Source organism: Homo sapiens, chromosome 16, assembly GCF_000001405.40.
Source record: "Homo sapiens chromosome 16, GRCh38.p14 Primary Assembly".
NCBI lineage: Eukaryota > Metazoa > Chordata > Mammalia > Primates > Hominidae > Homo > Homo sapiens.
In genome coordinates this window covers 24,844,981-24,870,898 of record NC_000016.10, presented here as the reverse complement: position 1 = coordinate 24,870,898, position 25,918 = coordinate 24,844,981, and the positions used below count along the sequence as shown (strand labels likewise).

Below are 25,918 nucleotides of genomic sequence, written 5' to 3'. Positions count from 1 at the left end.
TGACGTCTAAAGTACACAGAAATACGCTTCAGTCTTCACCATCTTTCTTCTGCATCTCTAGGACAGGAATCTGAGCCCTCTTCTTCACACACCCTTTTTTTTTTTTTTTTTTTTTTTGTGAGACAGAGTCTCACTCTGTCGCCCAGGCTGAAGTGCAGTGTTACAATCTCACCTCACTGCAGCCTCTGTCTCCCAGGTTCAAGTGATTCTCCTGCCTCAGCCTCCTGAGTAGCTAGGATTACAGGCATGCACCACCAAGCCTGGCTAATTTTTGTATTTTTAGTAGAGATGGAGTCTCACCATGTTGGCCAGGCTGGTCTCAAACTCCTGACCTCAAAAGATCCGCCCACCTTGGCCTCCCAAAGTGCTGGGATTACAGGCCTGAGCCATCGCGCCCAACCCACTATTGTTTTTTTTTTGTGTTTTTTGGGTTTGTGTGTGTGTGTGTGTGTGTGTTTTTTTTTGTTTTTTTTGTTTTGTTTTGTTTTGTTTTTTTGTGGGGAGGGGGACGGAGTTTCACTCTTGTCACCCAGGCTGGCGCGCAGTAGTGCAATCTCTGCTCACTGCAACCTCCGCCTCCCGGGTTCAGATGATTCTCCTAACTCAGCCTCCCGAGTAGCTGGGATTACGGCGCCCGCCATTACACTCGGCTAATTTTTTGTATTTTTAGTAGAGACGGGGTTTCGCCACGTTGGCCAGGCTGGTCTCGAACTCCTGACCTTAGGTGATCCACCTGCCTTGGCCTCCCAAAGTGCTGAGATTACAGGCGTGAGCCACCGCGCCTGGCCCCACCATTCTATTTTTAAAGTGCAGGGCATTCACACAACTTTCCCCTGAGATCTACCTGTTAGGTAGAGGTAAGATGTCATCTATGCCCTAGGTAAAATACTTACATTAAGTTCATAAGCTGATACAGAAATGCCCGTAGCAGCACCTGACCCTGCCAGGCCAATGAAATGTCCACTTCCAACATTGCTGGCAAACAAGGATGCACCCACCTGTGGGGAGATGGACGGGTCAGATCTTGGAGACAAAGTCAAGGGTACCTGCTCCCCACCCCCAATTATTTCCATGCTCCAAAGGGACAGAGAAGAGAAGTAGAGGAAGGCAGGGCCACCCCTAGCCTATCTGGCATTTTTGTTTACATTAGAATGAGATTCTTCTTCCCCAAGACTCTTACTTGGTCAGAGCCCACCTGTCAGAAATTGGTAGAATAAATATTCAGGACTACAGGGCCTAAAATGCAGATTGCACCCTGTAGGGTTGTGCAGTGCACAGCTTCAACAACTATATGCAGTATCCCTGCGGGGGTCGGGGGTCGGGAAAGAAGGTGACAGGTAATGTAGAAAGTGATTCATGATGAGAATCAGGAAGCCTGTGTTACTCCCCCAGATCTGCTTCTTACTTATCAAAGTAGATAGTCTTCTTGGTATAGCACTAAATGGCTAGTGCTGTACTTGCTGATGCCAATCCCTGGTCTCCCTGGTCTCAACTGATTGGGCTGGACAGGCCTGGGTACCTGGCCCAAGCTGAGCAAATTATATTCTCTTTCCTGGGAATTTGGAACGGGGACACCGTCTCTGCGGGTCCCTTGGACTGGAGATATTGAACCAGTGAGGTGTGTGTGTGCTGGGGGTGAGGGAGTGGTGTGGAGGCATGTTTCACCCTGTGCTGCTCATCACTGCCAGTTCAGAGACAGGGGAGAATGAGACCTGCAAGAAAGGCAGGTCCAGCCGGGCGCTCTGGCTCACGTTTGTAATCCCAGCACCTTGGGAGGCTGAGGCAGGCGGATCACTTGAGGTCAGGAGTTTCAGACCAGCCTGGCCAACATGGTGAAACCCCGTCTCCACTAAAAATACAAAAGTTAGCTGAGCGTGGTGACACATGCCTATAATCCCAGCTATTCAGGAGGCTGAGGCAGGAGAATCGCTCGAGCCCGGGAGGTGGAGGTTGCAACGAGCCGAGATTGCACCACTGCACTCCAGCCTGGACGACAGAGACTCCGTCTCAAAAAAAAAAAAAAAGGCAGATCCAGTGAGGAGGGGAAAGGAGGGAGCAAGAAGAAAAAGAGGAGGAGGAGGAAGGAAAGGAGGAGGAGAAGGGTGAAGGAAGAGAAGAGAGGAGAGAGAATTGTGAAAGAGCCATTTTACCTCCTTATTGACTTTCCTGTCTCTGCTTCTTATCAAATTCTATTTCATGGATTTCATGTTTATCCTTCTGTCAGTATCATATTCTTTTGATTACTGTAGCGTTGTAGTAAGTTTTCAAATTGGGAAGTGTGAGTCTCTTTTTTTTTTTTTTTGAGGCGGAGTCTTGCTGTCTCCCAGGCTGGAGTGCAGTGGTGTGATCTCAGCTCACCGCAAGCTCCATCCCCCAGGTTCATGCCATTCTCCTGCCTCAGCCTCCCGAGTAGCTGGGACTACAGGCGCCCGCCACCACGCCCGGCTAATTTTTTTTTTTTTTTGTATTTTTAGTAGAGACGGGGTTTCACCGTGTTCGCCAGGATGGTCTGGGTCTCCTGACCTCGTGATCTGCCCACCTTGGCCTCCCAAAGTGCTGGGATTACAGGCATGAGCCACCACACCTGGCCTCTAATTTTTTTTTTTTTTTTGGAAGAATCTGTAAAGCATTTGTGTTAATTATTCTAGGAATGTTTGGAAGAGTTTATCGTTGAAGCCATCTTGATCCTTGGTGCTTGGTCTTTTTCTTTGTGAGAAGTTTTGTGATTACTAATTCACTGTCTTTACTTTTTTTTTTTTTTTGAAATGGAGTCTTGCTTTGTCACCCAGGCTGGAATGCAATGGTGCCATCTCAGCTCACTGCAAACTCTGCTTCCTGGGTTCAAGTGATTCTCCTATCTCAGCCTCCTGAGTAGCCGGGATTACAAGCACATGCCACCACAACCAGCTAATTTTTTGTATTTTAGTAGAAATGGGGTTTCACCGTGTTGCCCAGGGTGGTCTCAAACTCATGAGTTCAGGTGATTCGCCCTCTTCAGCCTCCCAAAGTGCTAGGATTACAGGGGTGAGCCACTGTGCTTGGCCTGTCTTTACTTTTTATAGATATAATTCAGGTTTTCTATTTCTACTTGAGTCAGTTTTGGTACTCTGTGTCTAGGAATTTGTTCATTTCATGTAGGTTGTTTAATTTTTTGCATATAATTGCTCACAGCATTTCCTTATAACTATATTTAATTTCCATAATGTTGATGGAAATTCCCCCTTTTTCATTTCTAATTTTATTAATTTGCATCTTCTGTCTTGTTTTTCTTAATCTAGGTAGAAATTGGTCAATTTTGTTGATGTTTTCAAAGAACAAACTTTTGATTTTTTTGATTTCCTCTAACAGTTTTCTATTCTACATTTTGTTTACCTCCACTCTAATCTTTGTTATTTTCTTCTGTCTGCTTGCTTTGGGTTTAATTTGCCCTTCTTTTTTAGTTTCTTAATGTAAAAGATGAGGTAATTGGTTTGACATCTTTCTTCTTTTTTAATATGGGCATTGTGGTGTAAGTTTTCTTCTAAGCACTGCTTTAGCTGGATCCCATAAGTTTTAGCATGCTGTTTTCATTTTCAGTAATCTCAAAGTATTTTCTAATTTGTCTTGTGATTTCTTCTTTGGCCCATTGGTTATTTAGAAGTGTGTTGTTTAATTGATATGTATTTGGGAATTTTCCAAGGTTATTTATTTATAATTTCATTCCACTGTGGATAGACAACACACTTTGTATTATTTCAATCATTTTAAATTTCTTGAGATTTATTTATGGCTTAACATACAGTCTATTCTGGAGAATGTTCCATGTGCACTTAAGATGAATAGGTATTTTGCTGTTGTTGGATGAATTATTTTATATATGTCTGTTAGGTCAGTTGGTTTATAGTGTTGTTCATGTCTTCTATTTTCTTGTTGATCTTATTTTGTTTTTCCATACATTATTGAAAATGAGATATTAAAGTCACCAATTATTAGTGTTTGAATTGTCTATTTCTCCCTTCATTCTGTCAGTTTTTGCTTCATATATATTGGGAGTCTGTTGTTAGGTGCAATTATGTTTATAATTGTTATGTCTTCTTGAGGGATTGACCCTTTTATCATTATGTAATTTTCTTTTTTGTCTCTAGTGACAATGTTTATCTTAAAGTCTATTTTGTCTGGTATTAGTATAGCCACTCCTGCTTTTTTCTGGTTACTGTTTGTATGTTATATATTTTTCCATCTTTTTACTTTCAACATATTTGAAATATATTGTGTTTGGTTAAACAGGCTTTTTCCATCCTTTTACTTTTACTTTCAGTCATTCGTATCTTTTTTTTTTTTTTTAGACAGGATCTCACTGTTGCCCAGGCTGCTGTGCAGTGGTGTGATCTTGGCTCACTGCTACCTCCACCTCCTGGGCTCAAGTGATCCTCCCATCTCAGCTTCCCTGAGTAGCTGGGACTACAGGCACATGTGCATTTTTGGTAGAGGTGGAGTTTCACCATGTTACCCAGGCTGGTCTTGAACTCCTGAGTTCAAGTGATCCACCCATCTTGGCCTCCCAAAGTGCTGGGATTACAGGTTTGAGTCACCATGCCCAGCCCTATTTGTATCTTTGATCTAAGTATATCTCTTGTAGACAACATACAGTTGGATCACATTAAAAAAAAAATCCATTCTCTGCCTTTTGATTGGAGTGTTTAATCCATTTAAATTAATGTAATACTGGTAAAGTAGAATTTACATATGCCATATTACCATGCAATTAATATATGTCTAGTGTCCTTCTTATTCTTCTATTCCTCCATTGCCTTTTGTGCTAGATATTATCTAGTATGCCATTTAAATTCCTTTATTAAAACAATAGTTTCTGTTACTATTTTCTAAAATTACTTTCTTAGTGATTGCTCTGAGGATTATAATTAACATCTTATAAAAATCAATTTTGGATTATTAGCTACTTACCTTTTATGCTATTTATGCAACTGTCTTTTAAATTAGAGAGAAGAAAAAGAGAGTTACAATCGAAAACCAATTTATACTGTATGTTATATTTACTTACATAGTTACCTTCACCAGTGCTCTTTGTTTATTTTTTTCATGTAGACTCAAGTTACTCTCTGATGTCTTTATTTCAGCCTGAAGGATTACCTTTAGAATTTCTTATAGGGTAGGTCTTCTACCAGTGAATTTTCTCATTAAAAGAAAAAAGTCTAGGAATGTATACATTTCCCCCTTTTTCAAAGGATAGTTTTGCTCAACATTAGTTTTGATTGGTAGCCTTTTTCTTTTGGTACTTTGAGCTTCCATGGTTTCTGATGAAAAAACCAGCTGATAATCTTATTGAAGACTTTTCTTTTTTTGAGATGGAGTCTCACTCTGTCACCCAGGCTGGAGTGCAGTGGCTCAGTCTCAGCTCACTGCAACCTCCGCCTCCCAGGTTCAAGCAATTCTCCTGCCTCAGCCTCCTGAGTAGCTGGGATTACAGGCATGAACCACTACGCCCAGCTAATTTTTTGTAAGTAGAGATGGGGTTTCTCCAGGTTGGCCAGGCTGGTTTCAAACTCCTGACCTCAAGTGATCCGCCTGCTTTGGCCTCCCAAAGTGCTGGGATTACAGGTGTGAGCCACCGTGCCCAGCCGAAGACTTCCTGTATGTAATGGATTGTTCCTCTCTTGCTGCTTTCAAGAATCTTTGACTTTTGACAGTTTGATTTTGATGTATTTAGGTATGAGTCTCTTTGAATTTCTTCTACTGCAGTTTATTATATTTCTTGGATGTGTAGATTAATATTGTTAATAAAATTTAGTCAATTTTAAACCACTATTTCTTTTATTATTCTTTCTGCCCCTTTCTCTCTCTCTCCTCTCCTCTGGAACTTCAATTATGTGTATGTTAATTATGCTTAATCATGTCCCACAGATCTCTGAGACTCTGTTTCTCTTCGTTTTTTTTCTGTTCCTCAGACTTCATAATCTCAATTAATCTATCTTCAATTTCACAGATTCATTTTTTTTGCCTGCTCAAATCTGTTGTTGAACCCCTCTAGTGAGTATGTTATTTCACTTATTGTTACTTTCCAACTCCATAATTTCCACTTAAAAAAAAATCTATCTCTTTAATGATATATTCTGTTTAGTTAAACATTGTTCTCATACTTTTCTTTAGTCTTCAAGACATGGCTTTTTTGTGTGTTTTTTGGATATAGTTAAAATTGCTGATTTAAGGCCTTTGTTTAGTGAATATAACATCTGGCCTTCTTCAGGGACACTTTCTATTGACTGCTTTTTCTCCCCTGTGTATGGACCATACTTTCTTGGGTTTTTTTGCATGCCTTATAATTTCTTGTTAAAGGTGGACATTTAAAATGATGTCACTGGTAACTCTAGAAATCTGATAATTCCTGACTCTTCAGGGTTTATTGTTGTTTCTTCTATTCATTCTTGCTGTTGTTGCTGCTTCTATTGTTTGTTTCATGACTTTCTTAAATTAAGTTTATGAAGTCTGAATTCTTTATCATGTGTGGCCACCAAAATCTATGCTCAGTTTATTGGGCAGCTAATGACTGAAAAGACATTTTCTTAAATCCCTGAAACCAATAATTTTCCCAGTCTTTGCAATTCTCCCAGCTTATAACTCTGCCTTAGCCTTCACTTCCTGCTTGTGCAGAGCCCCAAGGTCAGCCAGAGGCAAGAGCTTAGGGCTTTCTCGGGACTTTTCTAAGCATGTGTGTGGGCCTATGCACATGGCCTTCTAGATTCCCAGAAATATGTCTGAGTTTTTCAAAGCACCCTATGTGCATCTCACTTCCCAGCTTTTCTATTTAAGTTGTCTTACTAGAATATTATTTGCCAAACTGTTATTGCCACAGCTGCAATGTTAAACAATTACCACTGATTGTTTTTCTACAAATGTGTCTAGGGAAAAGGCTATGCACACTGAATGAGTTCTACGTAAGGTCAAATAAAGATGAGCCCAGCAGGTGGGGCTTTCCAGGGAACAGGTGACGGGTAAAACAGTGACCTTTTTTAGAGAATGGAGTTTTGAAAGAGTTCTAATCCCATTCTGACCTCTTCAGTTGCTTCTAGGCTGGTGGTTTCCCAAGGCTACAACACAGCTAAAGAGAGAGAGATGGAAACAGGGCCAAAGCTCACTGTTTTTTTCTGAGACCCAGCTGTTTTTCTTGAATAAATGCTTCCTGAATTATTGCAGCATGTGGTTAATCCCCAGAGTTCTGAAAAAGTTGATTTTGACAATTTTTTTTTTTTGCTTCACTTCTCATAGCTTTTATGGAGGAGAGAATTTTTGAAGCTCTTTACTCTGCCTTTCCCAATGACACCGTTCAAATGTGACTTTTCCACATGGCCCATACAGAAACTGTGCGGGCCTGTAATTTACTTTAACCAACAGAATGTGGTAGAAGTGACTTCCAGGCCAAGACCTTAACAGCCTAGTAGCTTTCATTTTTGCCCTCTTGGGATTCAGCTACCTGGTTAAAACAAAAACAAAAACAACAGCAAGAAAAACCACAAAACCCTGGGCTAGGCCACTGAATGATGAAAGAGAATAGGGAGAAAATGAGGTCCCAGTATTCCAGTGACCCCTGCCAAAGCCCCCCAAATGTGGATGAAGCCATCTTGGACTTCTGTCTAGCCTAGTCACCAACTAAATGCAGCTGCATGAATGAGTCCAGAGGAGAAAAGCACATTTTTAAATTTTATTTTTATGATTCCCTGCTTTTCTATGTAGAGCAAATGATACTGGTTTTCTATTTAAGGTTGTGATTATACATATATATTTACATATTTATTATATATAATATATATCTATTATATATAATATATAAATCATATATATTATATAACTATATATTACATAAATATATAAATTATATATTATATAACTATATATTACATAAATATATGATTATATATTATATAATTATATATTATATAATATATAATTATATGTTATATATTTTATATAATATATATTTATATAAATATATTTATATAAATATATATTTTTAAAACCTAACTCCAGATTTTTCCCTTAGATGAGGTGACAAATTGTTTTTTTTTGTTGTTGTTTAAACGAATTTGAGCTGGAGCTAAGCCTTCTCTAGTTTAGACAATGACTTCCAAACGACATGAGACCAGAGAGTCCTGAGATATCAAAGGCTGGACAGAATCCCAGCACTTGAAGATTCTTTAAGAAGTGACTTTAATTGAACCAAAGACCACTTACTGGCCACCACACCATGTCCCCTCCAGCCAGGAAGTAGCCTTTCACTGTGTCTCTTTTGGTCTTCACTGTGGACTGAAAAAAAAAGAAGAGAGGTGGGTGAGGGAAGACGTTAGCAATCAGAGGCATCTCAAAATGGCCTAGGCCAGGCAGGGATTGCAAACTGGGAGTCCTGAGGGCCAGATTCGGATATCAAATATATTTTGTTTCTCCCAGAGTTTTGGATAAAATTTTAATTTTGTGTCTTTAGAGGAAACATAAACTCTTCAGGTCAACAAAGCTCCTACCACTTGTTGCTACAAACATTTATTTTATGATAACCTACTTGGTCTCCCTAGACATTTGAGTCTTAGGCTCATGGCTTGTTTATGATGTTTTATAACTGATACCATTTATTGAGTGTTTACTATGTGCCAGATGCTGTGCCAAGCACTTTATATGCATTACCTCATTTAATCCTTACCAACCCCTATGAGGTTTGTGTCGTTAGGCCAATCTGATAAAGGAAGAAACCGAGGCTCATGTCTCAGTCTGCTTTGCACTACTATAACAAAATACCCGAAACTGGGTGATTTTTAAACAACAGAAATTTGTTTCTTACAATTCTGGAGACTTGGAAGTTCAATATCAAGGCACCGAGAGGTTTGGTGTCTGGTGAGAGCCTGTTCCTCGTAGATAGTACCTCCTCTGTGTCTTCACATGCCAGAGGAACAGAAGGGCAAAAAGGGGTAAAACTAGTTCCCTTGAGCTTCTTTAATAAAGTCTGTAATCCCATTCATGAGGGCTCAGTTCTTATGACTTAATCACCCTCGAAACGCCCCATCTGTTAATACTATCACATTGGTGATTAATTTTTTCTTTCTTTTTTCTTTTCTTTCTTTCCTTCCTTCCTTCCTTTTTCTTTCTCTTTCTTTCTTTCCTTCTTTTTCTTTCTTTCTTTTTCTTTCTTCTGCCTGCCCCTTCCCTTCCTTTTCCCTCCCTTCCTTCCTCCCTCCCTTCCTTCCTTTCTTTCTTTTTCTTTCTTCTTCTTGTCCCTTCCCTTCCCTTTCCCTCCCTTCCTTCCTCCCTCCCTTCCTTCCTTCCTTTCTCTTTCTCTTTCTTTCTCTCTCTTTCTTTCTTTTCTTTTATTTTTCTTTCTTTTTCCCTTCCCTTCCCTTCCTTCCTTTCTTTCCTTTCTCTCTCTTTCTTTCTTTTTTGAGACTGGTTCTCACTCTGTCACTCAGGCTGGAGTGCAGTGACATGATCATGGCTCACTGTAACCTTGAACTGCTAGGCACAAGCAGTCCTCCTGGCTCGGCCTTCCAAGTATCTGGGACTACAGGCATATGCCACCATGCTCAACTAATTTTTCTGTTTTTTGTAGAGATGGTATCTTACTATGTTGCCAGGCTGGTCTCGAACTGAGCTCAAGCGATCTGTTCACTTCGGCCTCCCAAAGTGCTGGGATTACAGGTGTGAGCCACTGTGCCTGACCTTTTATCTCAAAGTTGTTAATATCCTTAATACAAAAAGAGCTCCTGGAAATTGATAAGAAAAAGAAGAAGAACCTAATAGAAATAAGGCAAAAGATATGAAGCCATAGTTCACATAAAGAAAATATGTGGTGTTTAAACATACGTAATGGGGCCCAACCTCATTCATTGTAAGATAAATGCATATTAACAATACTGGCTGGGTGCGGTGGCTCACACCTGTAATCCCAGCACTTTGGGAGGCCGAGGCAGGCGGATCACGAGGTCAGGAGATTGAGACCATCCTGGCTAACACGGTGAAACCCCATCTCTACTAAAAATACAAAAAAAATTATCCGGGCATGGTGACGGATGCCTGTAGTCCTAGCTACTAGGGAGGCTGAGGCAGGAGAATGGCATGAACCTGGGAGGTGGAGCTTGCAGTGAGCTGAGATTGCACCAGTGCACTCCAGGCTGAGCGACAGCAAGACTCCGTCTCAAAACAAAAAACAAAAAACAAAAAAAACTTTGAGATATTATTTTTCCTAGTCTGACAAAAATGAGTTTGACAATACACTGTTGGTGAGAATGTGACAAAACAGACTTTCTCATCATTTCTGATGTGTACACCTAAGGAGTGCAATTTGACACAAACTAGTATAATCACAAATGCATATATTCTTTAATATACGCATTTCTGCTGCAGGGAATTTATCTTATAGCTACACTCCCAAACAGTGTACAGAGTTTATTTATTTATTTATTTTTGAGACGGATTTTCACTCTTGTTGCTCAAGCTGGAGCGCAATGGCACAATCTCAGCTCACCACAACCTCTGCTTCCCAGGTTCAAGTGATTCTCCTGGCTTAGCCTCCTGAGTAGCTGGGATTACAGGCACCCACCACCACGTCTGGCTAATTTTTTTATATATATTTTTTGAGATGGAATCTCACTCTGTCGCCCAGGCTGGAGTGCAGTGGCACGATCTCGGCTCACTGCAAGCTCTGCCTCCCGGATTCATGCCATTCTCCTGCCTCAGCCTCCCAAGTAGCTGGGACTATAGGCACCCGCCACCACACCTGGCTAATTTTTTGTATTTTTAATAGTGATGGGGTTTCACCACATTGGCCAGGCTCGTCTCAAACTCCTGGCCTCAAGTGATCTGCCCACCTCTGCCTCCCAAAGTGCTGGGATTACAGGCGTGAGCCACCGCGCCTGGCCTAATTTTTGTATTTTTAGTAAAGATGGGATTTCACCATGTTGGCCAGGCTGGTCTCAAACTCCTGGCCTCAAGTGATCTGCCTGCCTTGGCCTCCCAAAGTGCTGGGATTACAAGCGTGAGCCACTGCGCTGGGCCAGGGTTTGTTTATTATAGTATAGTTTATTATAGTAAGAGATTGGAAACAATCCAAATGACCTTCAGCCCGAGACTAGTTAAATAAATTACAACACAATCATCTAAGGAAATATTATGCAACTTTTAAGAAGATAAGGAATGTCTACGTGCTAATGTGAAAAGATATCTAAAAGATACTGAGAAGTGAAAAATAGAAAGCTAAAAAACAGTATAAGCTACCTTCTGTTTAAGAAAGAGGGAAATATGCAATTAAAATTTGCTTGGATTTGCATAAAGACACTTGAACCACACGCTTATGTACTAACAAGCTAATAATATTGGTTACCTGTGGAGAGAAGGCTAATATTGAGATTTTTCATCGCTTGTCATAAGTGATTTTTATTTGTGAGCCATGTGACTGTATTGCCTTTAAAGTTTTCTTTAAAGTAAAAAAAAACACAGTTGGGCTGTTTGTAATCCCAGCACTTTGGGAGGCTAAGATGGGAGAATTGCTTGAGCCCAGGAATTTGAGACCAGCCTGGGCAACATACTGAGATCCCATTTCTACAAAAAAAAATTTAAAAATTAACTACCTGGCAGCCGAGGTGAGAGGATCACTTGAGCCCAAGAAGTCGAGGCCGGAGTGAGCTATGATTGCCACCACTGCGTTCTAGTACCCTGAGCAACAGAGGGAGATCCCACCTCAAAAAGCAAAACAAACAAAACAAAAACAAAAACAAAACATGAGCTTCGAAGTAAGGGAGACAGGGATTCTAACCCTAACTCTCCTAACTTACAGGATGAGGATCTTAAATTATTTGGGCCTGTGTTTCCTTATCTGTAAAATGGGTATTGTAACAGCATCTTTCTCACAGGGGCCTGTGAAAATTACATGAGAAATGTAAGTGAAAATGCTTAAAACAGTGTCTGACAATAGTCCACACCCAATGCATGTTTAAAATTTTTAAGTTCTGATTACTCTATAACCTTGTGTTAGTTTCTTCCTCTCACAGTCAGTATCTTAGCTCCAAAAGGATGAGGTTAACTCCGGACCTCTAAACAGACATTTCCTTCTCTCTTCATCCCCCATCCCCCAGTGGCCTGGCTTACCCATAGTCCAACAGCCAGGACAAAGAGGAAGTACAGAACTAGCACCGCGATGTCCCCAGGCTCCAAGCCCTTCTGGGGAAACGCATCCAGGGGATCTAACTGTGGAGGCTGAGGGCTGCTGGTGCCGCTCTCCATGGTCCTGAACGAGACCTCTGGATCCTGAGGAAGGGCAAATGCCAGTCAAATGCCAGATCCTAGCATCATTCTTCTCACCCTTTCTGTAGCTACCTCCCTAGGCCATCCATGAAAGAGGACCCATGTGGAGGGATGTGTGGTGGAAGACAGATCTTCAGGGAAGACAGATCCATCCATCGATCCATCCACCATCCACTCACTCATTCATTCATTCAACACATATTCATAATGAAGTCACATCAAATCTGCAGTCAATTTTGTCACTCACTTGGCAAAATAGAAAGAAGCATAAACAATTGCAATAGTACAGATGATTTCAGCAAGCACGTGTCCCAGAGTGAAAGAAAAATGAGACACCTGAGTCAGTCTCCACTTCCGTGGTACCTCACAGCTGGGTGAGAGTCAAGTCAACAATTTTGTCCAAGGCTCAGCCAGACACCATAATCTTGTTCCAATGCTACATATACCATGAAATTTAATATATTTAATAAACACTCATATTGCATCTACTATATCCTGGGCATCATTCTAAGTGTTTACTAACCTGCAAAGTGGGCACTATTGTTATCATCCCCATTTTACAGATGGTGAAGTTGAGACACAGAGACACAGAAAAGTTAAGTAAGTGCCCAAGGTCATAAAGCTGAGATTTGAACTCAATAATCTTGCTCCAGAATCCATGCTTTGAGCCACTAATCTAAGCAGTTTTCTCAGTACCCTGCAAATCCATGGGCAATTTAAGGAAATCTTGTGGTAGACAGAGAAATGGCCCCCAAAGATGCTTACCTCTAATCCCCAGAACCTGTGAATATGTTGTTACATATCAAAGGACAATTAAGTTTGCAGATAAAATTAAGGTTGGTAGTCAAATCACTTAAAATTGGGAGATGCCTAGCTGCAGCTAACCTGAAAATAGGGAGATGCCTGGATTAACTGGGTGGGCCCCATGTAATCACAGTAAAAACAGAATCAGAAGAGATAGCCACAGAGATGACAGCATGAGAAGGATTTCACTCAACGTTGTTAGATTTGAAGATGGGGTAATGGAGCTACAAGCCAAGGAGTGCAGGTGGCTTCTAGGAACTGGAAAAGGCAAATTAATAGATTCTTCCTTAGCACATCCAGAAGGAATTCAGTCCTGCTGACACCTTGATTTTAGCCCAGTAAGACCCATTTAGAACTTCTAACCTCTGTAACTGTAAGGTCATAAATTTATGTTGTTTTAGCCACTAAGTTCATGGTAATTTGTTAAAGCAGCAGTCAGAAACTAATAAAATTTCCAAGGGTGATTTTTGACCACAAGTGATCAGGGCATTGACTTATTTCTGTGTTAAGATGCAACTCCACTCTGTTGGCCTTTGGGCATTCCGGAATGAAAATACTTGATCCTTGCCATCTTGCAATGCACAGCCCAGTGATGGGACAAAGCCACCCATGGACAACAACAGCACAACGTGATGTTTCACAGAGGGCAGGTTCATGGGGAGAGATGTTAAGAATTCAGGCTCCGAAGCTGTACACCTTGGCCGGGCTCAGTGGCTCATGCCTATAATACCAGCACTTCGGGAGGCCGAGGTGAGTGGATCCCATGAGGCCAGGGGTTCAAGTCCAACCTGGGCAACGTGGTGGACCCCGTCTCTACTAAAAATACAAAAATTAGCTGGGTGTGGTGGCGCATGCCTGTAGTCCCAGCTACTCAGGAGGCTGAGGCATGAGAATTGCTTGAATCTGGGAGGTGGAGGTTGCAGTGAGCTGAGATTGTACCACTGCACTCCAGCCTGGGCAAAAAGAGCAAGACCTTGACTCCACCATTTACACTTAGCTAAGTTTATTTTATTTTATTTTATTATTTTTATTTATTTATTTATTTTTTGAGATGGAGTCTCACTCTGTCTCCCAGGCTGGAGTGCAGTGGCCTGATCTCGGCTCACTACAAGCTCTGCCTCCCCGGTTCACACCATTCTCCTGCCTCAGCCTCCTGAGTAGCTGGGACTACAGGCGCCCACCACCACGCTCAGCTAATTTTTTTTTTTTTTTTTTTTTTTTGTATTTTTAGTAGAGATGGGATTTCACCGTGTTAGCCAGGATGGTCTCGATCTCCTGACCTCGTGATCCACCCACCTCGGCCTCCCAAAGTGCTGGGATTACAGACGTGAGCCACTGCGCCCGGCCTATTTTATTTTTTAAGAGACAAGGTTTCCCTATGTTCCCCAGGCTGGCCTTGAACTCCAGCCTCAAGAAATCCTCCCACCTTGGCCTCCCAAAGTGCTGGGATTACCAGCCCAGCCAAGGTACATTTTTAAAGTAAGAAAAAACTCCAACACTTTTCATTTTATGCAATCTGAAGGTAGGTTGTGGACTCAGATAGTGATAAATGGGATTTTCGCCCACATGAATGTCTGGTGGGTCCTCTGAAAATCTTTATTGCGTGGGCAATACACATTTCAGGAAGTCTAGAATTTCAGGCCTCCCCCTGCTGAATGCCAGTAGCACTCCCAAATTATTGTGACAACCAAAAATGCTCTCATACATTTTGAAACATCTCTGAAGGCCAGGAACACCTCCAGTGCACACATGTGCTCTGGGTTAAAGGATGTCAGTGAGGAATTTCTAATAAGAAAGTGGTATGATCAGACAGGGGGCAGCCTTGATGAGAAGCAAGAACGCGGGCAGGGAGGTTATTCTGGAGGTAGTGACTCCGGCTTGAGACCATACATAAGCAGGGGTTAGTCCATTCCTACTGTTACAATCAAATACCTTAGACTGTGTAATTTGTAAACAACATAAATTTATTGCTCACAGTTCTGGAGAAAGTCCAAGATCGAGCTGTCAGCAGATTCAGTGTCTGGTGAGGGCCCGTTCCTCATAGGTGGCACTTGCTTGCTATGTCCTCATATGGTAGATGGATGGGTCAAGTTGGCTCTCTCAAGCCTTTTTGTTTTATTTTTATTTATTTATTTATTTATTTATTTTGAGACAAGGTTTCACTTTGGTGTCCAGACTGGAGTGCAGTGGCACAATCACTTTTTCTCTTTTTTTAAAGAGACAAGAGTTTTGCTCTGTTACTCAGGCTGGAGTACAGTGGCACAATCACAGCTCACTGCAACTTCAACCTCCTAGGCTCAAGAGATCCTCCTGCCTCAGCCTCCCAATTAGCTGGCACTATAGATGCACCACCATGCCTGGCTAATTTTTTTTTTTTTTTTTTTGTAGAGATGAAGTCTATGTTGCTCAGGGTGGTCTCAAATTCCTGGGCTCAAGCAATTCCTCCAACTCCGCCTCTCAAAGTGCTGGGATTATAAGCATGAGCCACCGCACCTGGCCTCAAGCCTCTTTTATAAACGTGCTAATCCCATCCATGGGGGCAGAGTCCTCATAACCCTAACCCTCTCAAATGCCCTGCCTCTTAATACTATTGCATTAGGGATTTAGGTTTCAATGTAGGAATCTGGGGACAGAGGGACATGCACAATCAGATCATAGCAGAGGGAGTAGATTAGAGAAATAATTTGGAGGCCAGGTGTGGTGGCTCCAGCCTATAATCCTACCACCTTGGGAGGCTGAGGCAGGAGGATCACTTGAGCCCAGGAGCTTGGCTACAGTGAGTTATGATTGCCCCACTGCACTGCAGCCTGGGAGGCAGAGCAAGACCTTGCCACAAACAAACAAACACACACACACACACACAAGGCTAACCTAACCTAACCTTTCTCTGTGCAAGAAAGTGAGAGAAGGCCTAGAGGTGGAGACTCCCTTTCAGGGTAAGGGTGGAGGCTCTTAAGGGAGGTTCCAAGCAGGAAAAGCATTCTGGCAGCTTCAGGAGGGGAGGGGGTGAGGGGACCCTTGTGGGTTGTCTCAAGGGTGAAGCCCCATTAGGTAAGTAATGTTCTCATCAGACTTTACAGGGGAGGAGGCTGGGCACAGTGGCTCATGCCTGTAATTCCAGCACTTTGGGAGGCCAAGGCAGGAGGATCACCTGAGGTCAGGAGTTTGAGACAAGCCTGGGTAACATGGTGAAATCCCATCTCTACTAAAAATGCAATTTTTTTAGGTGGGTGTGGTGGTATGCAACTGTAATCCCAGCTACTTTGGAGGCTAAGGCAGAAAGATCGCTTGAACCCGGGAGGCGGAGGTTGCAGTGAGCTGTGATTATGCCACTGCACTCCAGCCTGGGGGACAGAGTGAGACTCTGTCTCCGGAAAAAAAAAAAAAACTTTACTTTACAGGGGGAGTGATGGCTCTGAGAGTTTAAGTCGTGTCCAAAGTCACATGGCTGACAAGTGACAAAGCTGGGACTCGAATCCAGTCTGATTTCAGAGTCTGTGTTTTCAAACACTTCAACCTGCTGCTTCTAAAACAGGATTTGGGGAAAGATGAGGAGTAGAAAAGTGCAGGAAGCATGTTTAGGTGGAGGTTGATGCTGAATTGGGGAGTGGGGCAGAGGGAGGAGGGAGGAGGGGCGGCGGCTGCCTGGTGAGCCAGTCCTCCCTGTCCCTGCCCGCCCCTTCCAGACCTCTGCCTGCCAGGCACCGAGAGAGCAGTGGGAGAAGCTCCAGCAGATAAACAAGTTATTCATCATCGCCGTGGGGCCCACAGCCGGCGAAACTGGCACCGATTCCAAGCCCTTCCTGAGTCTCCGGGAGGTGGGGCCCAGCCAGGGGCCGCGAGGGACGTGGCTCCATCTTCACGGTGGAGACAGGAACAGCGACCAAAGATGCTGTGGAGCCTCGGCCACAGGATCCCAGGAGGAACCCTCCATGCGCTCCACCCTCTGCAAATTCATGCAGTAGGTATACTGAGAATCGGCCCTAACACTTGGTGAGCACGATTTCTATTTGAGTGCCAGGCATGGAGCACAGCCCTTTGAGGCAAACGTGATTTCACCTCCATTTCACAGGTGGGAATCAGAGGCACAAGAGGGGAAAGTGAGCCTAACTCAGGCATAGCTGTGCTGCTTGCTTCTAGGCCGCAGTCAGTGCCGCGGGTGGGATCCCAACCCAGGTTTGGAGGTGGCCATTCCTGGCTGGTCTTTCTTTCCTCCCGCCCTTCTCTCCTTCATTCTCTCTTTCCCTCCCTCTGGCTCTATTTCTTTCCTGCAAGCATTTATTAGGCACCAGCTGTGTGCCAGGCTCCATGCCAGGCCCTGAGGACTTAGTGGAACATTTATTAGTCACCAGCTGTGTGCCAGGCTCCACGCCAGGCCCTGCAACTCAGTGGAACATTTATTAGTCACCAGCGGTGTGCCAAGCTCTGTGTTAGGTCTTGTGACTCAGTAAAACAAATGTTATTAGGCATCAACTATGTACCAGGCTCTGTACTAGGCCCTGGGGACTCAGTGAAATAAACATTTATTAGGCACCAACTATGTACCAGGCTCTGTACTAGGCCCTGGGGACTCAGTGAAACAAACATTTATTAGGCACCATCTGGGTGCCAAGCTCTGTGCTAGGCCCTGGGGACTGAGTGCAACAAACATTATTAGGCACCAACTGTGTACCAGGTTCTGTGCTAGACCCTGGGGACTCAGTAGAACAAACATTAGGCATTAGTTGTGTGCCATGCTCTGTGCTAGACCCTGGGGACTAAGTACAACAAACATTTATTAGGCACCGGCTGTGCACCATGCTCTGTGCTAGACCCTGGGGACTCAATAGAACAAACATTTATTAGGCACCAGCTGTGTGCCATGCTCTGTGCTAGGCCCTGGGAACTCAGTAGAACAAACATTTATTAGGCATCAGCTGTGTGCCATGCTCTGTGCTAGGCCCTGGGGACTCAGTAGAACAAACATTTATTAGGCATCAGCTATGTGCCATGCTCTGTGCTAGGCCCTGGGGACTCAGTGAAATAAACATTTATTAAGCAACAACTGTGTGCCAAGCTCTGTGTTTGGCATGAAGGACAAAACAATGAGAAGCGTAGACTTGGCCCCGTCCTCTGGGTTTTCATCTCAGTCCCCTGCACCCTGTGTGTACCTGGGCCCACTCGGTGAAGTGACCCCGGGCACCCTTTGTCCCTTGCATGGTGATGTTTGGCTCCCAGGCTGCCTCAGGAGGGTCTGGTTGGGGTGGTTGGGGGTGGCTCCTTCTTCACCTCTTGTGAAGAACCCTCCCTGTGCCCGCGGGGAGGATTCACGGCAGCTTGTGTTATAACAAAGGCTTTGTTGGCAAGGAGAACAGCCTACCCTTGAGGTCGCCTATTGGCCAATGCACAAAAGGAAGCTCAGTGGAGCAGGGACTTCTCTCATCCCTTCCTTTTGGCCACTGACATAATTTGCTATGGTAGATGTGAAAATTTTCCACGCCCCAGGAGATGTGAAAAATTTCCACACCCCAGTGCAAGGAAAAGATCAGAAAAGAGGTTCCCAGGTCACAGGTGTGGGAAGGTGAGCTGTGATTGTATTTGCCGCATTTCATGCCTTAGGCTGGCTTCTGGATGTGCGTGATTCTTTATAACTTCTGTGTGTCTGAAACGTTTCATAATGAAAGAAAAAGGAGGGAAATAAACAGAGCACAATTTATAGCATGAAGCCAAAGCACTCAAAGACACAAAATAGTACTATTTTGCCAGAGTGCAGGCGTATTTCCAGATGAGTATCAAACACATTAGAGGGGGTGGCAGGAATCGGGGGAGAAACAGATAGAGTGGGAGAGAGAGAGAGAGAGAGAGAGAGAAGCAAGGGAAGTTCCCTGCTCTGAATGAAAATGACAATGACTAATTACAAATTTTAATTATGAGCAACAGACTCTCCAGGAAATAGATATGTCGTGATAAAGCGTAAAGTGTAAATACTTTAGAACTGCACCGCCCTGACTCAGATCCCAGCTCTGCCTCCTGTGAGCTCCTTCATCGTGGGCAAGTCACCTCTCTGAGGCTCAATTTCCCATCTACGAAATGAGGTTAATAATTAGACATACGTCACAGGTTTGTAAAAAGCAGTAGGCATGTTCATTGTATGTGTAATGTGATTAAATACAGAGTACTTGTTCTGTTCCCCGTCCATTTTATAAAACCATTTTTTTTAAAGAAAGCATGACTTGGGAGGCTGAGGCAGGAGGATTGCTTGAGCCCAGGAGTTTTGTTTTGTTTTGTTTTTTTTGAGATGAAGTCTCACTCTGTCCCCCAGACTGTAGTGCAGTGGTGCAATCTTGGCTCACTGCAACCTCTGCCTCCTGGCTTCAAGCGATTCTCCTGCCCCCAAGCGATTCGCCTGCCTCAGCCTCCCAGGTAGCTGGGATTACAGGCGTTTGCAACCACGTCCGGCTAATTTTTTTTTTCTTTTTTTGTATTTTTAGTAGACATGGGGTTTCACCATGTTGGCCAGGCTGGTCTTGAACTCCTGACCTCAGGTGATCCGCCTGCCTTGGCCTCCCAAAGTGCTGGGATTACAGGCGTGAGCCACTGCCCTGGGCCCAAGCCCAGGAGTTTGAGACTGCATTGAGCTATGATTGCACCACTGCATTCCAGCCTGGTGACAGAGTGAGACCCTATCTCTAAAAACAATAAAAATAAAAATAAAAGGAGCATAAACTAGGCCGGGTGCAGTGGCTTATGCCTGTAATCCCAGCACTTTGGGAGGCTGAGGCAGGTGGATTGCTTGAGGTCCAGAGTTCGAGACCAGCCTGGCCAACGTGATGAAACCCTGTCTCCACTAAAAATACAAAAATTAGCAGGGCGTGGTGGTGGGCTCCTGTAATCCCAGCTACTTGGGAGGCTGAGGCAGAAGAATCGCTTGAACCTGGGAGGTGGAGGTTGCAGTGAGCTGAAATTTCACCACTGCACTCTAGCCTGGGTGACAGAGCAAGACTCTGTCTTAAAGAAAAAAAAAAAACGAATAAACTTTGTGGTTAGGCAAACCTTGGCCACATATGTGCATGAATCATGTTTTGAAGTCACAGCCTCCCTACAAGGACTCTGATTAACTCCATTGTACAGGTGAGGAAAACAAAGCTGAGGCCGGGTCTAAGGCCACACTGCTAGTAAATGACTGAAGCAGGGCTCCAACCCAGGTTTAACTCTAGAGCTCCTAACTACCCCGAGACACGTGGACCTTGGTGGGGAAAATTCCAGATGTGATAAGGACTGGCACGGGTCTCATCACCCAGGCTGGAAGCCACTCGCACCCTTTCCTACCACTCCTGGGCTGCAGTGGCGCTGACTGCCTGCTGCACTGCAGCAAGCTGTGCCCTGGCCTGGCCTGGGTCTAGGGAGCCTAGTGGAGGCAGCCCTACAAGAGGAAAAGAGTCAGTCCTGGAAGGCAGAGAAGGGCTGTCTGGGACTAGAACTGCAGGAATAAGGAGCTAAATGACCACCCCTGGCCTCCTCCACCCGTTGATGCCATGGGGTTCATAGAAACAGAGAGATCTCTACAAAAAGGCCAAAAAGACAGATCCTGGCTGGGCTCAATGGCTCATGCCTATAATCCCAGCATTCTGGGGGGTCAAGGCATGAAGATCGCTTGAGGCCGGGAGTTTGAGCCCAGCTTGGGCAATGTAGTGAGACCCTTTTTTTTTTCTCCTCTACAACAAATTTTTAAAAATTAGCTGGGCATGGTGCTGTGTGTCTGTGGGCCTGGCTATTTGGGAGGCTGAGGCAGAAGGATTGTTTAAGCCCAAGAGGTTGAGGATGTAGTGAGCTGTGATTGCACCACTGCACTCCAGACCCTGTCTCAAATAATAGATAATAATAATGATAATAAAATAAAAAATTTTAAAAAGACATCTCAGGATTTGAGGCTGAAGCAGAGGCCAGGATCACCCCTAGTCCGTTAGCAAGAGCCACGGCTTCAGGTATCTGGAAATAAATTCTAGGCATGGCAGGGCAGGGCAGCGTTCCCTGAATGGTCCACAGCAGGGTAACAGGGCATATGCCCAGTGAGTGCAGGGGACCCGGCAGAGCGTTGTCCTTCACCTGCCTTTCAGGGATGATCTTGTCTCATTATTCCAGAGAGAATAGACATCACAGAGCACCTTCTGAGCCCAGACCTGTCCATCCAAATGCCAACGTGGCATCTCTCATGGATATATATATATATATATATATATATATATTTTTTTTTTTTTTTTTTTTTTGCCCCCAAGGCAGAGTCTCGCTCTGTTACCCAGGCTGGAGTGCAGTGGTGCAATCTCTGCTCACTGCAACCTCTGCCTCCCGGGTTCAAGCGATTCTCCCGCCTCAGCCTCCCGAGTAGCTGGGATTACAGGCATGTGTCACCACGCCTGGCTAATTTTTGTGTTTTTAGTAGAGATGGGGTTTCACCATGTTGCCCAGCTTGTCTTGAACTCCTGACCTCGGGTGATCCACCCGCCTCGGCCTCCCAAAGTGCTGGGATTACAGGCGTGAGCCACCGTGCCCGGCTTCTCATTGTTACTTAATAGATGTCTGAAAGTTCACACGTGCGAGTTACAGACCAAGCTTTCCAGCCCAAGCACGTGCTTCTTCCAGTCTTCCCCACCTCACTAAATGACAGCTGCAGCCACTCTGCCACTCCTGCCAGAAACCTGAGTCATCTATAAGGCATTAGTCCATTTGTTCACTTATCAAGTGGTCTGTGAGCACCTCTATGTGCCAGGCACTACATCTAAGCACCAAGAGTGCCTGGTATGTAAATGTCTCATCGAAGAATTTATAGCATCTCTTTCTCACCTCCCAGAATCTATTCACTCCCAATTCCATTCTCTCTTACTTCCAAAACATAATAAATCCACACATTTTCCCTCATTTTTAGTGCTATCACCCTTGTCTGAGCCACCATCACTTCTGTCTAGGTTAGAGAAAGACCCTCCAGTCTTACCTCCCCGATATCCATTCTTCCTTCCTTTTTATTTTATTATTTTATTTTTGTTTTAATTTACTTAATTTTTAGAGACAGGGTCTTGTTCCCTTGACCAAGCCGCAGTGCAATGGTGCCATCAGAGCTCACTGTGGCCTCAAACTCTCGAACATCTGTGCTCAAGGGATCCTCCCACCTCCGTCTCCCAAGTAGGTGGGACCACAGGTACATGCCAACATGCCTAGCTAATTTTTTATTTTTTGAGACAGGGTTTCACTCTGTTGCCTGGGCTAAAGTGCAGTGACACAAACACAGCTCCTGCAGCCTCAACCCCATGGGCTCAAATGATCCCTGCACAGTGCTGGGATTACAGGTGTGAGCCACCATGCCTGGCCTCCAGCTAACTTCTTATTTTGTAATTTTTTTGTAGAGACGGGGTCTTGCTATGTTGCCCAGACGGGTCTCAAACTCCAGGCCTCAAGCAATCCTCCCAACTTGGCCTCCCAAAGCACTGAGGTTGCAGGCATGAGCCACCTCACCCAGCCTTGCTTCCTTTTAATCCGCCCCTCACACGGAAGCCAGAGAAATCTTTAAGTATGAGTCAGATCAGATCATTTTCCTGCTCAAAACATCTCCATGCTGCTGGGGTGCTTTGTTGTGCTTCCAACCCCACCACATACTAGCATTCATTTTATTCCTGGAACACGATTTCTGGCCTCAGGGTCTTTGCCATTCTGTTCCCTCTGCCTGGGATGCTCTTCCCTGCACTCTTTGCTGGACAAGCTCCTACTCATCCTTTAGATGTCAGCCTGCTGTATATCCCCAAAGGAGCCCCCTCTTGGCCTCAATATAAATTGGGTCCCCAAGCTTTTTGCTTTCATGGCAAACACAACTTCTCATCACAGTCTAATCAAGTGTAACACTTGATGTGTGTGATTACCCCTTGTCTGCACTGCACAGCAAGCCCCATAAAGAAAGGTCCATGTCTCTGTCACTCTCATTGTGTCCCCAAAACAGGCATGCAATAAATGTTGGTACAACAAATAAATGTGGGATTTTTAGAGCCTTTGCTATAGATCCTTTGCACGCTGTGACCGCCCAAAAAAGGGACAGCATTTTTCCAAGTCCTATCTGCAGGATGCCCAATGGGCTAGGACACTTCTGTCAACTATTGCCCAGAATAATTCAGCAGAACACCATTTGAAAACCACTGATTGGTAGGGTGCAGTGGCTCATGCCTGTAATCCCAGCACTTTGCAAGGCTGAGGCGGGAGAATCGCTTGAGTTCAGGAGATTGAGACCAGCCAAGGCAACACAGGGAGACCCCATTTGTACAAAAAATAAAAATAAAAAAGTTAGCAGGGCATGCTGGTGAGCTATGATAGTACTACATTTCAGCCTGGGCAACACAGAGAGACCCTGTGAAAGAAAAGACAGAAAAGAAACGAGAGAGAGAGAGAACAGAAAACACACACAGAGAGAGAGAGGAGGCAAAGAAGGAAAGAAGGAAGGAGAAAGGGAAAGAAAGGAAGAAATAAATAATAAAAGAGAGAGAAGAAAGAAAGAAAGAAAGAAAAAAGGGAAAAGAAAGAGAAACAGAGAGGTGGGAGGGAGGGAAGGAAGGAAAGAAGGAAGGAGAAAGAAAGGGAAAGAAAGGAATAAGGAAAGAAATAAAAGAAAGAAGGAAAGAAAGAAAGAACAAAGAAAAGAAAGGAAAAGAAAGAAAAAGAAAGAAAGAGAAAAAGAAAGAAAGGAAAGAAAAAGAAAATCACTGATATTGTGGCTGAGCTCATGGCCACAGGAATTGAGTCTTGGCTTGGCCACTCACTATCTGTATTACCTTGAGCAAGTTATTTAATGACCCTTAGACTCTGTCCATGAATTAGGGGGTGCTGTACCTACCTTACAGGGTTTCTGTGTCAGTTAGATGAGATCCAGGCGTAAAGTTCTCTGCACGTGTCTGACACGTACCAGTGAAGACTTGTATTTGCCTTGTAGTTAACAGCAGCTGCAGTTGTAGTAAATACATTCCTATAGCTTTTTAATGCTTATGTGGATACATTTACCTTCGTTATCTCTGGGTAACACACCTGTGGGGTGGGTCAGCCTGAGGTTCATATTCCCATTTGACAGATAAGGAACCTGAGACTCGGTGAGGCAAAATGTTTGGCTCAATGTCCCTGACCTTGGTTAAGTGGAAGAGCTGGGACCCACGTACGGTGCTGCTGGCTGCCGGCTGCTGGCTTCATACCACCATGCCCACCCCACAAACACACTCCATTGTCCTGGTGTATGACAAGCTTTCTCTGCAGAGAGGGCTGAGCTTCCCCTGCCCCACAGGTGACAGCTGGAGTCCTTCTGCCAGCACCTGTCCCCAGACCAACTTCCCAGTTTGGAGAGTGGCTACCTGTTTGGGGGCAGGGGGTGTCTTACCTTATTCCAGATGCAGGGCTCACCTGCCCTGGGGGCTGTCAGTGGCTTCTAAGGCACTAGGAGGTGGCGGTGGTTGTAAGGAGGGAGATACCCGGGATCCTCTCTCTTTGCAGCCAAGAGCTTCCGGAGACAGCAGTGACCCTTCCTCCTATATGCCCGCTGCTGAGAGAGCCTCCAAGCGGGTCAAACTCCAAACTCCAGCCTCAGCTGCAGCGGGGATTAAAGGAAGCGTGAATGATCTCCCCAGGGCAGAAGAGAGAACGGGGCCCAGCCCAGGACCCTTGAACTCTGAGCAGGTGGGGAAGGTGACATGTCCCACGCTCTGCCCACACCGTCCTCCACCAGGGTCCTCACCTGCGTGGGGACCCATGGCATGGAGGGGTTGGGGAGACGCTGGAGCCCAAGGCACCATCCTGCTTCACTCACCCAGTCTTCCACTGTCCCGCCTCCACGCTGGGGACAGGCAGGCTTGGGACGAGCTGGAGGAAGGGGAGGGGAGGAAAAATGCTGGCGGCGGATGGAGGGGACAGAGGCAAAGTGCCAGGAGGGACGTCCAGCCACAGCCCTCACCGCAGTGGCAGCAACAGGAACAGCAACCATTGCTTGTGCAACCCCTTTCCATATACTCTTCAGACAGAGGCATGGCAAAGAACAGGTGTCTGCCTGAAGTCGAGAGTTCGAGACCAGCCTGACCAACATGGAGAAACCCCATCTCTACTAAAAATACAAAGTTAGCCGGGTATGGTGGTGCATGCCTGTGGTCCCAGCTACTCGGGAGGCTGAGGCAGGAGAATCACTTGAATCCGGGAGGCGGAGGTTGTGGTGAGCCGAGATTACACCATTGCACTCCAGCCTGGGCAACAAGAGCGAAAATCAGTCTCAAAAAAAGAAGAAGAAGAAGAAGAAGAGGTGTCTGAGGCCCTGAAAAACCGTCAGGAGTGACCGAGCCATGGCCAGGCGCCCACATCGGGCCCAGGACATCAGCGGGGCATAGCGAAGATTTCTGCCAGATGCTCAAAGCATCCAAAACTTTATTTACTTTTTATTTCTGAGACAGGATCTCACTCTGTCACCCAGGCTGGAGTGCAGTGGTGGCATCACAGCTTGCTGCAGGCTCATCCTCCTGGGCTCAAGTGATCCTCCCACCACAGCCTCCCGAGTAGCTGGGACTACAGGCGTGCACCACCACACCCAGCTAATTTTTTCATTTTTTTGGTAGAGAGAGAATCTTGCTATGTTGCCCAGGCTGGTCTCCAACTCCTGGGTTTAAGTGATCCTCCCACCTTGGCCTCCCAAAGTGCTGGGATTACAGGGGTCAAACACTGTGCCAGGCCAAATACCAAAACATTTTAAAAATAGTTACTAGTATTTGCAAACCAAGAGGCTTGAAACATAATTCTAGAATACTCACTTTTCTAGAACAACCTGAAGATCTGGCCTCACCAGGCCCCCATGGCC

At 44.7% G+C, this 25,918-nt stretch overlaps 1 protein-coding gene across 36 annotated transcripts in view; it reads right to left on the bottom strand.

Moving 5' to 3' along the window:
- SLC5A11 (solute carrier family 5 member 11) overlaps positions 1 to 24,936 on the bottom strand; it is a 65,664-nt gene extending 40,728 nt beyond the window's left edge. For 11 of the 36 annotated variants that reach the window (NR_172077.1, NR_147934.2, NR_172076.1 and 8 more), the window contains exons 1-5: positions 24,887 to 24,936; positions 24,461 to 24,667; positions 12,121 to 12,279; positions 8,227 to 8,298; positions 894 to 998 (exon numbers count right to left, since the gene is read on the bottom strand). Coding sequence is in view for 25 of the 36 variants with exons in the window: in NM_001352248.3 (NP_001339177.1) it covers positions 894 to 998; positions 8,227 to 8,298; positions 12,121 to 12,255 (312 nt within the window). In the remaining 11 variants the exon portion in view is untranslated. Of the gene's footprint in view, positions 1 to 893; positions 999 to 8,226; positions 8,299 to 8,824; positions 8,917 to 11,603; positions 11,713 to 12,120; positions 12,280 to 23,929; positions 24,036 to 24,460 lie in introns of all 36 variants that reach the window. The other 25 variants (NR_147938.2, NR_147935.2, NM_001352242.2 and 22 more) reach the window with 14 other exon arrangements.
- Between the last annotated feature and the right edge of the window lie 982 nt (positions 24,937 to 25,918).